General features: G+C 37.9%; 1 protein-coding gene across 55 annotated transcripts in view; it reads right to left on the bottom strand.

Moving 5' to 3' along the window:
• SPIDR (scaffold protein involved in DNA repair) overlaps positions 1 to 13,720 on the bottom strand; it is a 475,429-nt gene that overhangs the window by 321,630 nt on the left and 140,079 nt on the right. For 47 of the 55 annotated variants that reach the window (NR_148202.1, NR_148205.1, NR_148204.1 and 44 more), the window contains one exon: positions 6,716 to 6,816. The exons of the other annotated variants lie outside the window; for them this stretch is intronic. Coding sequence is in view for 40 of the 47 variants with exons in the window: in XM_017013268.3 (XP_016868757.1) it covers positions 6,716 to 6,816 (101 nt within the window). In the remaining 7 variants the exon portion in view is untranslated. The remainder of the gene's footprint in view (positions 1 to 6,715; positions 6,817 to 13,720) is intronic. 55 annotated transcript variants of the gene reach the window in all.

Here is a 13,720-nt window from a genome sequence, read left to right as displayed (position 1 = left end):
CCCAGCAATATAAGGGAGTGGGATACTGACATACACAACAACTTGAATAAATATACAGACAAAAACAGACCTCTCAACTGTGGGGTAATTAAATACTCCCCAAATGGAAGACACGTGGAAAGAAAGATCTCAAGCTAAATCATTATAATCGACAGATCAATTTTGTAAGCCATAATTTCTCATCTCTGAAGCAGATAAATAAGGAGAATCTTAGTTTGACATGCTACACTTAATATCTAGAACAAAATTTAAGAAGTGATATTGTAAGGAACATTTCAAGTAAGTTATGTTTTTGTTTTGAGCCAAACAAAAAAAATCACCTTTTTCTCCCTTCATTCTGGACCACCAGTCATACATGTTTAACTTGGTATTTTTCTATCCAGAGAAGCAGAAGACACTCTGTCAACTACATACTTGACAATTTGATCAATTCACTATAGTGAGTAACCGGGATGACAACGCCTAGTGAATTCTATGTGTATTAATATCAATAATTAAGAAGACAATCTGCCACTTCCCATCAAAATCATAAGACTTTAGGACATCCTATACAGTTCCACAATTTACACAGTCTCTGCAACCTTCAAACCTATGTCCTATGCTTCACCAATTAGTGCTGTCTCAAGAATGTGATACAGACCTACATTTTGTAAGATTTTTTTCAAAAGAAAAACATTTGTATTAATACTTCTAATTTTGCTAACTCCTCAATCCCTTGTCTTCTTAAGCCTAACTTTCTCCAGCCCAAACAGAGTAACTAATGAAGGTCTGTAGAGATTAACAAACTTCGACTTGACAGTTCAAATCTGGCCTTAGTCATCTATAGCATATACTCAACCTACAGTTTTTTTTATCTGGAAAATAAGGAAAGCAAACTCTTCTAGAAGATTAGTTTGCATATGAAATGATTTAATACGTAGTAAGCCTTCAGCATTGTACCCACCAACATCAAACCTCCAAATGTGATACAACAATGAGGATCATGTTGAAGGGGGAAACAGGACAGACAGAACCCAAACTATTTAAGAATTTATGATCCAATTCAAAGTTCGCCCATGTTTTGCTCCTACTTGGAAGATATTTACAATTTGTCAATGCTATAATAACATCAGCAAAATTCAAGACAGCTACCTGAACTAAACATGCAAAGTCCAATTTGGACTATTTGGTTATTCTCCACTAGCAAGATCAAGAGGAAACTGGCAGAGGATTAAAATGATTATTTTCATATGGCAGAAGAGTGGCAGGGTTTGAAAGAGCATGGCACTGGGAACCAGGAGGCCTGGCTTTGGCCCTGTCTCTTCCTTGGCTAGATAATCAGAGCAAGTCACCTCCCTCCTCTAGGCAATCTGCCAAAGAGGAGCTTGGACTGGAATGTCTCTAAGAGTCCTCACAGAATTAGCATTCCATCTCCTCATGTGGAAAAAGGAAACAAAAGCGCTGCATGAATGTCAACGCAGTATGCAAATGATATCTTCAGGTTCTGGCCTTTTAGGCCGCCAGTAGCCAGAGTCCTGTGTGCCATGCTCCTCTTTTCCATCTGATAGTTCACCATCCACCACAACCCAACACAAAGCTAATGTTGTAACTAAGAACTCAAAGTGGCCTTCCTGAAACCCAATAATGCAAATATTTATATCCAGTTGAAAGAAATTCAAGCTTGCCATTCTCTCATATCATTACTTCAAAAGAAGGGAGTCAAAAGAAGGAGGAGCCATTTGAGAATTTAAGTGGCAAGGAAATATTTTTCTGGTTCAAGCAGAACAAAAGAAGTTTATAATGCATAGAACCACAAACTAAATTGAAAGCAATGAGTGACACACAAATTAAACAGAAACTATTTAGAGATGGAGGGAAGTAGATTATAAGAAACAGTGGTCACTCCAGTTCCAGGTCATTCACATTTGAGAGGTTAAATATACACATGCAAATACTTATAAATAGGAGAACATGAAGAATCACTGAAAGACTAAAATGAGATAACATACTGTAGAATTACAAATAGTTCCTGCTGATTTTTATTAAATAACTCTGGAAATAAAATAATCACAAGTTAAGGATATGGATGGTAGTGTGTTACTGACTGTAGCCCATGTTGGCCAGAGTGATTAGGATGATTTCAAGCAGGGATTCCTGTCTCTACCAGACCAATGAAAGTCATTTTGGGCACTTCTGGTAAAATATTGGAAAGAAAGCATTCTTTTTATCGGACTTGAAGAGGAGAGTTACCACACAGAGAATGACCGCCAGCCTTTCCAACCAATATGCCTGAAGCATGGTCCCTGTGGCATTCAATTACAAGTCCCATTAAATTCTTTTTTTGTGTCTAAGCCAATGTGCTATTAAGACTTCCCTAAATTCTAAATAACAAATGGAAGAACATTAAATGCTCATGGGTAGGAAGAATCAATATTGTGAAAATGGCCATACTGTCCAAGGTAATTTATAGATTCAATGCCATCCCCATCAAGCTACCAATGACTTTCTTCACAGAACTGGAAAAAACTACTTGAAAGTTCATATGGAACCAAAAAAGAGCCCGCATTGCCAAGTCAATCCTAAGCCAAAAGAACAAAGCTGGAGGCATCACACTACCTGACTTCAAACTATGCTACAAGGCTACAGTAACAAAAACACCATGGTACTGGTACCAAAACAGAGATATAGACCAATGGAACAGAACAGAGGCCTCAGAAATAATGCTGCATATCTACAACTATCTGATCTTTGACAAAGCTGACAAAAACAAGAAATGGGGAAAGGAATCCTTATTTAATAAATGGTGCTGGGAAAACTAGGTAGCGATATGTAGAAAGCTGAAACTGGATCCCTTCCTTACACCTTATACAAAAATTAATTCAAGATGAATTAAAGACTTAAATGTTAGACCTAAAACCATAAAAACCCTAGAAGAAAACCTAGGCAATACCATTCAGGACATGGGCATGGGCAAGGACTTCATGTCTAAAACACCAAAAGCAATGGCAACAAAAGCCAAAATTGACAAATGGGATCTAATTAAACTAAAGAGCTTCTGCACAGCAAAAGAAACTACCATCAGAGTGAACAGGCAACCTACAGAATGGGAGAAAACTTTCGCAATCTACTCATCTGACAAAGCTAATATCCAGAATCTACAATGAACTCAAACAAATTTACAAGAAAAAAACAACCCCATCAACAAGTGGGCAAAGGATATGAACAGACACTTCTCACAAGAAGACATTTATGCAGCCAAGAGACACATGAAAAAATGCTCACCATCACTGGCCATCAGAGAAATGCAAATCGAAACCACAATGAGATACCATGTCACACCAGTTAGAATGGTGATCATTAAAAAGTCAGGAAACAACGGGTGCTGGAGAGGATGTGAAGAAATAGGAACACTTTTACACTGTTGGTGGGACTGTAAACTAGTTCAATCATTGTGGAAGTCAGTGTGGCGATTCCTCAGGGATCTAGATCTAGAATTACCATTTGACCCAGCCATCCCATTACTGGGTATATACCCAAAGGATTATAAATCATGCTGTTATAAAGACACATGCACACGTATGTTTACTGTGGCACTATTCACAATAGCAAAGACTTGGAACCAACCCAAATGTCCAATAATGATAGACTGGATTAAGAAAATGTGGCATATATACACCATGAAATACTATGCAGCCATAAAAAAGGATGAGTTCATGTCCTTTGTAGGGACATGGATGAAGCTGGAAGCCATTATTCTCAGCAAACTATCGCAAGGACAAAAAACCGAACACCACGTGTTCTCACTCATAGGTGGGAAATGAACAATGAGAACACATGGACACAGGAAGGGGAACATCACACACTGAGGCCTGTTGTGGGGTTGGGGGAGCGGGGAGGGATAACATTAGGAGATATATGTAATGCTAAATGACGAGTTAATGGGTGCAGCACACCAACATGGCACATATATACATATGTAAGAAACCTGCACGTTGTGCACATGTACCCTAAAACTTAAAATATAATAATAATAATAAAAAAGACTTCTCTAAATAATAAGACCAGGCAAACTTTATGTTTGCCTGGCCTTCAGGGTGGTCAAATGAGTTGTAAAGATTATTATTTAATGTCATAATCATTAATATAAAAAAACGCCAAGAAACAAAGTCGTAAGTATAACAATGGATTGACCCACAGATATGTATAGAAGAAAAAGTGACTGGGCATGATGGCTCACACCTGTAATCCCAGCACTTTGGGAGGCTGAGGTGGGTGCGTCACCTGAGGTCAGGAGTTCGAGATCAGCTTGCCCAGCATGGCGAAACCCCATCTCAACTAAAAATACAAAAATTAGCCAGGCGTGATGGCAGGCACCTATAGTCCCAGCTACTCCGGGGGTTGAGGAGGAGAATCGCTTGAACTCAGGATACGGAGGTTGCAGTGAGTCAGGATCTTGCCACTACACTCCAGCCTGGGTGACAGAGCGAGATGCTGTCTCAAAAAAAAAAAGGTAAAATAAAATAAAAAAAGAAAAAGTATTCTTGGGTCATATATATTAGGTCATCCTGATACATATATATGTATTTCATATTATAGTACTTTAATGCAAGAATGTGAGAGAAGGCAATTGCTAAGCGACAGCTGGGAAAGGAGTTTTTTGTATTTTTTTAGAGACAGGGTCTTGCTGTGTCACACAGGCTGGTGTGCAGAGGTGCGATCATAGCTCACTGTAACCTAGAACTCCTAGGCTCAAGCAATTCTCACATCTCAGCCTCTCGAGTAGTTAGGACTATAGACGTGTGCCACCACGTACAGTTAATTTTTAAATTTTTGCAGCGAATGGGTTTCACTACATTGCTCAGGCTGGCCTTGAACTCTTGGCCTCAAGTGATCCTCCCGTCTTGGCCTCCCAAAGGATGGAGATTACAGGCATGAGCCACCACACCTGGCCTCGGAAAGGATTTTAAAAGGAATAAATGAGATAAGAATTGAAAAGTCTTCTAAAGAAATGTGTAATATAATAGTTGAGAACATAACAGTTGAGTGATCTATTTAGAAGAATATATTATTGGGAACGGGGAGATCAACTCTAAGAATAATGTTTCTTAAATTCTAGCATGTGCAGAAACCACCTGGGAACCTATTAAAATGTATATCCCAATGATCCCTCAGGAAAGACTAATAATAGTTGGTTTGGAATACATGACTGGGCCCACACCTACCCATCCCCTACTCTAGATGGAGGGAACACACAGGAAAAAACTACCAAATCAGCACTGTTTAGGAGGAGAGGAGGCTTTTCTAGACATGTGGAATCTTTTCAATATCAAGCAATTTGTTGAAAAACAAGAGTTTTCAGTCATTAGACCTTGGAGGAATAAACTCATTTGTTGGAATAATTTCTGAGACCTATATGACACCTGAAAAAAAAAAAGTCAGTTTTCAGAGTACAAGTCCTTGACATCCATGATTAAGTTTATTCCTAAGTATTTCATTCTTTTTCTTTTCTTTTTGAGACAGAGTCTCACTCTGTCGCCAGGCTGGAGTGCAGTGGCACAACCTTGGCTCACTGAAGACTCCGCCTCCTGGGTTCAAGCGATTCTCTTGCCTCAGCCTCCCGTGTAGCTGGGACTACAGGCGTGCACCACCACGCCCAGCTAATTTTTATATTTTTAGTAGAGATGGGGTTTCACCATGTTGGCCAGGATGGTCTCGATCTCTTGACCTCATGATCTGCCCGCCTCAGCCTCCTAAAGTGCTGGGATTACAGGCGTGAGCCATCATGCCCGGTCCCGAATTTCATTCTTTTTGATGTTATTGTAAATGAGACTGCTTTCTTAATTTCCAAGAGAAAAGAAAATATCTCGTTGTTAATATACAGAAATTTCATTGTTACTATATGGAAATGCAATTGATTTTGGTATGTTGATTTTTAATCCTGCTACTATGTTGAATTCATTTATTAGTTCTAACTTTTTTTTGGCAGGGGCAGGGTGTCTTATAGGGTTTTCTAGATATAAGATCATGTTATCTGCAAACGGAGACAGCTTTACCTCTTGCTTTCCAACTTGGATATCTTTTATCTCTTTTTCTTGACTAATAGTGCTCTGGCTACAGAAGCAGAGACTGCAATGGTGGCTGCCAATAGAGAGGTATTTGTCAAAGGGTACAACGTTTTGATTATATAAGCTAAACCAGTCCTAGAGATCTGCAGTACAGAATCATGCCTATAGTTAACATACTGTATTGTATTCTTAAAATTTTGCTAAGAGGAGCTGGGCACGGTGGAAAAAGCCTGTGGTCTTAGCCAGTCGGGAGGCTGAAGTGAGAGAATTTGCTTGAGCCCAAGAGTTTGAGGCTACATGATTATGTCACTACACTCCAGCCTGGGCAACGGTGAGACCCTGTCTCTAAATAATGAAATAAAACAAAATAAATTTTGCTAAGAGGGTAGAGTGCTCTTAATGATAAGAATAGAACAAAATTTTTGGAGGTCAAGGGTAGATTTATAGCACAGATTGTGGTGATGTTTTCATAAGAGTATGCTTATTTTTAAACTCATCAAGTTAAATATATTTACTATATATAGTTTTTATATGTTAAAATTAGAATGTTGGAAAAAATTTTTAAAAAGTCATGAAAATATTAACAATTAACTTCATATATTTTAATGTAAGAATTCTTTTAACTAAAATATTTTTTTACACATTGTCTCAGATTCCTGCACAAGCCTTACCTGAAAGTGTCTTTTGGTAAGAAATACATTGATGTCTCCACAAAGAAATAGCAGATCTCTCTCGATTCTGCAGTCCATTTAGTCTTTCTGCTAGTCCACCTCTGTTTAATGAATTATAATGTATTAAGTTTAGTTAAAAGGAAAACTTCAGAATCACTGGAACATTTATATTGTATACCCCCCAACCAGAGACAAACAGATAAAACATGCAAAATTTTAACGTATATTTGTTACCACATTATCTTCCCAGAGGCCATATCCTCATAAGTCAGTTTTTTGTTTTCTTAGAAGCTTGGTTTTCTGATTCTTAGAAATATGGGCTAATATTATGTCCAAAAACATCACATTCTTGGAAATATGACAGCTAAATATCAGCTTACCTATTTTTCTATTCTTTCTTAGTTCATTTATTCAATCCTAAAACAAGCACTGCTTACTTACCACCTGCTATATGCTGGCACCTAGCACTTCGTTAGGTACCAGGGACACAAGGACAGCTATGAGTGCTGCCATGGAGGTGGGAAAGCTCCCAATGAGCTCAGCACATAGGAGCAAAGAAATGTAAAGTGGGCTCAGAGTTCCAGTCAAGAATAACTTTGCCAACTGTTGATAGAACACTCAAATAAGAGCACTTGGGTATGGGTCCCTTATTTGGACTCCAGAGATATTTGAGTATCAATCACAAACACACAGCAAAGATACCAATGTTATAAAAAAGAAAACTTCCATGTATAGCAGAAAGACAATTTATAACGACAGACATGCAGGCACTGCAGAAGAGCATTAACCTATCAATGAACACATATACTTACTGAGATATATTTATGCTTATAAATATATAGGTGTATGTAAATTATAAGTAAATAAATACATGCATATGTAGAGAGAAAGAGAAGTTATCAACTACTAACATAACTATAATTTCAAGAAAAATTAAGATCAGTTGTTAATTACCACTATAGCTACATGCTATATCGGGTATCAATGTATTATCTCATAAGTTTATTATCTTGTTACCAATTCATTAATCATTTCACTACATTACCTTTATTCAAATAATATCCCTTTGAGACTGAAAGAACAGATATCAGTACCCACTGCACAGATGATAAAACCAGAATTTAGAGAGAGGTTAAGAAACTTCTCCAGCATTACGTAACTAACCAGATGAGGAACTAGCTGTTAAAACCAGAATGGACTTAGTGCAGCACGTGGCATTTAGTAAACCTTCAAAAAATGCCCATGATTGGTGTAACTGTTTTTGTTATGTTTTTCACTTGCAGCCTATATACAGATCTTTCCATTATGATGGAAATATTTTAATAAATACATAATATTGCTAGTATTAATACCTATAGAGACACCTAGTATGTTTTCCTATAGGTTACTATTTCTGAATATACTTGCGTGTAGTACATGTAACAGAAAAAAAGTTAAAACCTCTTATGCTCAGAAATATGCCATAGCACCTCTACATGTCAACCTCTACTTCCTATTAAGCCCTTCTTCATATCATTCTGTTTACATGAAGTAACTCGTTTATGCTTCCCCTTTACACAACACCGTGAAGTAGGTACTATTATTATTCCACTTTATAGATGACAAACTGAGGCACCAAGATGTTAAACATCTGTCCAAGGTGAAATGTCTAATGAGTGGTGTAGCTGGATGCACGCCTAGGCAGTCTGGTTCCAGAGTTCAAACTCTTAGTCTTGATAATATACCTAGCACCTCTTAAACAGTATTATTTAAAATGATATGCACAATAAATACAAGAAGCAAATGCTGTATTCTTTGCCCAACTATCTAGAACATTATTTGCCAAATGTTGCTTTTCAATGCTGTGACCTTACAGAAAAAAAAAAAAAAAGGCAAAATGAACTCTGAAAAAACTATCTGGTTAAAGTCAAGCCTAGAACCTCGTAAGAAAACTGTGCAGATTACAGGATGAAAGGTAAAAGCAACAGTAAACATGCACAGGCGCTCTCTACACACAGCAGTATCTGGAGCCCTCAGAAAAAATCTGCATCTCACCTGAGTTTGGCCATTAGGGCCTGTTATGCAGGGAATTCCAGTCACATGCACTTGAACTTAAGAACTTGAGCTTAGGAAACACCATGTCCTCTAATCAACAATCCTATTTCTAGTAAAAACATATCTCATGTTAAAAAAAATTAAGTCATACCAAAAGTTCAGGAAGGCCCTGCCATCTATATCCAAATTAACTCTTTTGAACGTAGCCAGATAAGTTATTTATAAAGGCCAAACTCCGATGGAATAAAAATATGATGAATTCACTCAGCAAGTTAAGATATCCTAATTATCTTTTCTATAAAATTAACAGACTGGTAACCTATCTCAAAAGATGACTGGTATCAATTTGACATTGGTAAACATTTCTATAAAAACAATATGGAGAAGTAAAGAAGGATAAAGATTCAAAAATATTCCAACTGATTTACAGTCAAAATATTTTTAATAAGCTATACAACCAGGTAAAGAATAAACAATTAAAATGACTGTAAATACAATATTTTAAAATTTTGGTTTATTTTTATTATACTTTAAGTTCTGGAATACATGTGCACAATGTGCAGGTTTGTTAAATATACATATATATATACACACACACATATATACACACACACACACACACACACACACACACACGTGCCATGTTGGTGTGCTGCACCCGTTAACTCGTCATCTACATTAGGTATTTCTCCTAATGCTATCCCTCCCCCATCCCCCCACCACATGACAGGCCCCGGTGTGTGATGTTCCCCTTCCTGTGTCCAAGTGATCTCACCGTTCAACTCCTACATATGAGTGAGAACATGCGGTGTCTGGTTCTCCTTCCCTGCGACAGTTTCCTCAGAATGATGGTTTCCAGCTTCATCCATGTCCCTAACAAAGGACATGAACTCATCCTTTCTTACAGCTGCATAGCACTCCATGGAGTATATGTGCCATATTTTCTTAATCCACTCTATCACTGAAGGACATTTGGGCTGGTTCCAAGTCTTGGCTATTGTGAATAGTGCCACAATAAACATACGTGTCAATGTGTCTTTATAGCAGCATGATTTATAATCTTTTGGGTATATATCCAGTAATAGGATTGCTGGGTCAAATGGTATTTCTAGTTCTAGATCCTTGAGGAATCGCCACACTGTCTTCCACAATGGTTGAACCAGTTTACAGTCCCACCAACAGTGTAAAAGTGTTCCTATTTCTCTCCACATCCTCTCCAGCACCCGTTGTTTCCTGACTTTTTAATGATCGCCATTCTAACTGGTGTGACATGGTATCTCATTGTGGTTTTGATTTGCATTTCTCTGATGGCCAGTGATGATGAGCATTTTTTCATGTGTCTATTGGCTGCATAAATGTCCTCCCTTGAGAACTGTCTGTTCATATCCCTTGCCCACTTTTTGATTGGGTTGTTTGATTCTTTCTTGTAAATTTGTTTAAGTTCTTTATAGATTCTGGATATTAGCCCTTTGTCAGATGGGTAGACTGCAAAAATTTTCTCCCATTTTGTAGGTTGCCTGTTCACTCTGATGGTAGTTTCTTTTGCTGTGCAGAAGCTCTTTAGTTTAATTAGATCCCACTTGTCAATTTTGGCTTTTGTTGCCATTGCTTTTGGTGTTTTAGACATAAAGTCCTTGCCCTTGCCTATGGCCTGAATGGTATTGCCTAGGTTTTCTTCTAGGGTTTTTAAGATTTAGGTTTAACATTTAATGCTTTAATCCATCTTGAATTAATTTTTGTATAAGGTGTAAGGAAGGGATCCAGTTTCAGCTTTCTACATATGGCTGGCCAGTTTTCCCAGCACCATTTATTAAATAGGGAATCCTTTCCCCATTTCTTCTTTCTGTCAGGTTTGTCAAGGATCAGATGGTTTTAGATGTGTGGTATTATTTTCAAAGGCTCTGTTTTGTTCCATTGGTCTGTATCTCTGTTTTGGTACCAGTACCATGCTGCTTTGCTTACTGTAGCTTTGTAGTATAGTTTGAAGTCAGGTAGCGTGATGCCTCCAGCTTTGTTCTTTTGGCTTAGGATTGTCTTGGCAATGCGGCTCTTTTTGGTTCCATATGAACTTTGAAGTATTTTTTTCCAATTCTGTGAAGAAAGTCATTGGTAGCTTGATGGGGATGGCATTGAATCTATAAATTACCTTGGGTAATATGGCCATTTTCCCAATATTGATTCTTCCTATCCAAGAGCATGAAATGTTCTTCCATTTATTTGTTTCCTCTTTTATTTCGTTGAGGAGTGGTTTATAGTTCTCCTTGAAGAGGTCCTTCACATCCCTTGTAAGTTGGATTCCTAGGTATTTTATTCTTTTTGAAGCAATTGTGAATGGGAGTTCACTCATAATTTGGCTGTTTTGTCTGTTATTGGTGTATAAGAATGCTTGTGATTTTTGCACATTGATTTTGTATCCCAAGACTTTGCTGAATTTGCTTATCAGCTTAAGGAGATTTTGGGCTGAGACGATGGGGTTTTCTAAATGTACAATCCTGTCATCTGCAAACAGGGACAATTTGACTTCCTCTTTTCCTAACTGAACACCCTTTATTTCTTTCTCTTGCCTGATTGCCCTGGCCAGAACTTCCAACGCTATGTTGAATAGGAGTGGTGAGAGAGGGCATCCCTGTCTTGTGCCAGTTTTCAAAGGAAATGCTTCCAGTTTTTGCTCATTCAGTATGATATTGGCTGTGGGTTTGTCATAAATACCTCTTATTATTTTGAGATATGTCCGATATATACCTAATTTATTGAGAGTTTTTAGCATGAAGGGCTGTTGCAATTTTGTCAAAGGCCTTTTCTGCATCTATTGAGATATTCATGTGGTTTTTGTCTTTTGTTCTGTTTATATAATGGATTACGTTTACTGATTTGCGTATGCTGAACCACCCTTGCATCCCAGGGATGAAGCCAACTTGATTGTGGTGGATAAGCTTTTTCATGTGCTGCTGCATTCAGTTTGCCAGTATTTTATTGAGGATTTTTGCATTGATGTTCATCAGAGATATTGGTCTAAAATTGTCTTTTTTTGTTGTGTCTCTGCCAGGCTTTGGTATCAGGATGATGCTGGCCTCATAAAATGAATTAGAGAGCATTCTCTCTTTTTCTATTGATTGGAATAGTTTCAGAAGTAATGGTACCAGCTCCTCTTTGTACTTCTGGTAGAATTCGGCTGTGAATCCGTCTGGTCCTGGACTTTTTTTTGTTGGTAGGCTATTAATTATTGCCTCATTTTCAGAACCTGTTATTGGTCTATTCAGGGATTCAGCTTCTTCCTGGTTTAGTCTGGTGAGGGTGTATGTGTGCTGGAATTTATCCATTTCTTCTAGATTTTCTAGTTTATTTGCGTAGAGGTGTTTATAGCATTCTCTGATGGTAGTTTGTGTTTCTGTGGGACTGGTGGTGATATTCCCTTTATCATTTTTTATTGTGTCTATTTGATTCTTCTCTCTTTTCTTCTTTATTAGTCCTGCTAGCAGTCTATCAATTTCGTTCATCTTTTCAAAAAACCAGCTCCTGGATTCACTGATTTTTTGAAGGGTTTTTTGTCTCTATCTCCTTCAGTTCTGCTCTGATCTTAGTTATTTCTTGCCTTCTGCTAGCTTTTGAATGTGTTGGCTCTTGCTTCTCTAGTTCTGTTAATTGTGATGTTAGGGTGTTAATTTTAGATCTTTCCTGCTTTCTCTTGTGGGCATTTAGTGCTATAAATTTCCCTCTACACACTGCTTTAAATGTGTCCCAGAGATTCTCGTAGTGGGACACCAGTACCATTTGATTGCACTGTGGTCTCAGAGACATTTTGTTATAATTTCTGTTCTTTTACATTTGCTGAGGAATGCTTTACTTCCAACTATGTGGTGAATTTTGGAATAAGTGCGATGTGGTGCTGAGAAGAATGTATATTCTCTTGATTTGGGGTGGAGAGTTCTGTAGATGTCTATTAGGTCTGCTAGGTGCAGAGCTGAGTTCAATTCCTGGATATCCTTGTTAACTTTCTGTCTCATTGATCTGTCTAATGTTGACAGTGGGGTGTACAAGTCTCCCATTATTACTGTGTGGGAGTCTAAGTCTCTTTGTAGGTCTCTAAGGACTTGCTTTATGAATCTGGGTGCTCTTGTATTGTGTGCACATATATTTAGGATAGTTAGCTCTTCTTGTTGAATTGATCCCTTTACCATTATGTAATGGCCTTCTTTGTCTCTTTTGATCTTTGTTGGCTTAAAGTCTGTTTTATCAGAGACAAGGATTGCAACCCCTGCTTTTTTTTTGTTTTCCATTTGCTTGGTAGATCTTTCTCCATCCCTTCATTTTGAGCCTATGTGTGTCTCTGCACGTGAGATGGGTTTCCTGAATACAGCACACTGATGGGTCTGGACTCTTTATCCAGTTTGCTAGTCTCTGTCTTTTAATTGGAGAGTTTGGCCCATTTATATTTAAGGTTTATATTGTTATGTGTGAATTTGATCCTGTCATTATGATGTTAGCTGGTTATTTTGCTCGTTAGTTGATGCAGTTTCTTCCTAGCCTCAATGGTCTTTACAATTTGGCATGTTTTTGCAGTGGCTGGTACCAGTTGCTCCTTTCCATGTTTAGTGCTTTCTTCAGGAGCTCTTGTAAGGCAGGTCTGGTGGTGACAAAATCTCTCAGCATTTGTTTCAAAGGATTTTATTTCTCCTTCACTTATGAAGCGTAGTTTGGCTGGATATGAAATTCTGGGTTGAAAATTCTTTTCTTTAAGAATGTTGAATATTGGCCCCCCACTCTATTCTGGCTTCTAGAGTGTCTGCCGAGAGATTCTCTGTTAGTCTGATGGGCTTCTCTTTGTGAGTAACCCGACCTTTCTCTCTGGCTGCCCTTAACATTTCTTCCTCCATTTCAACCTTGATGAATGTGACAATTATGTGTCTTGGAGTTGCTCTTCTCGAGGAGTATCTTGGTGGCATTCTCTGTATTTCCTGAATTTGAATGTTG

This window comes from Homo sapiens, chromosome 8, assembly GCF_000001405.40.
Source record: "Homo sapiens chromosome 8, GRCh38.p14 Primary Assembly".
In the NCBI taxonomy this organism is placed as follows: Eukaryota; Metazoa; Chordata; class Mammalia; order Primates; family Hominidae; genus Homo; species Homo sapiens.
The sequence above is the reverse complement of the archived record's forward strand: the minus strand, read 5'-3'. Positions and strand labels throughout refer to the sequence as shown.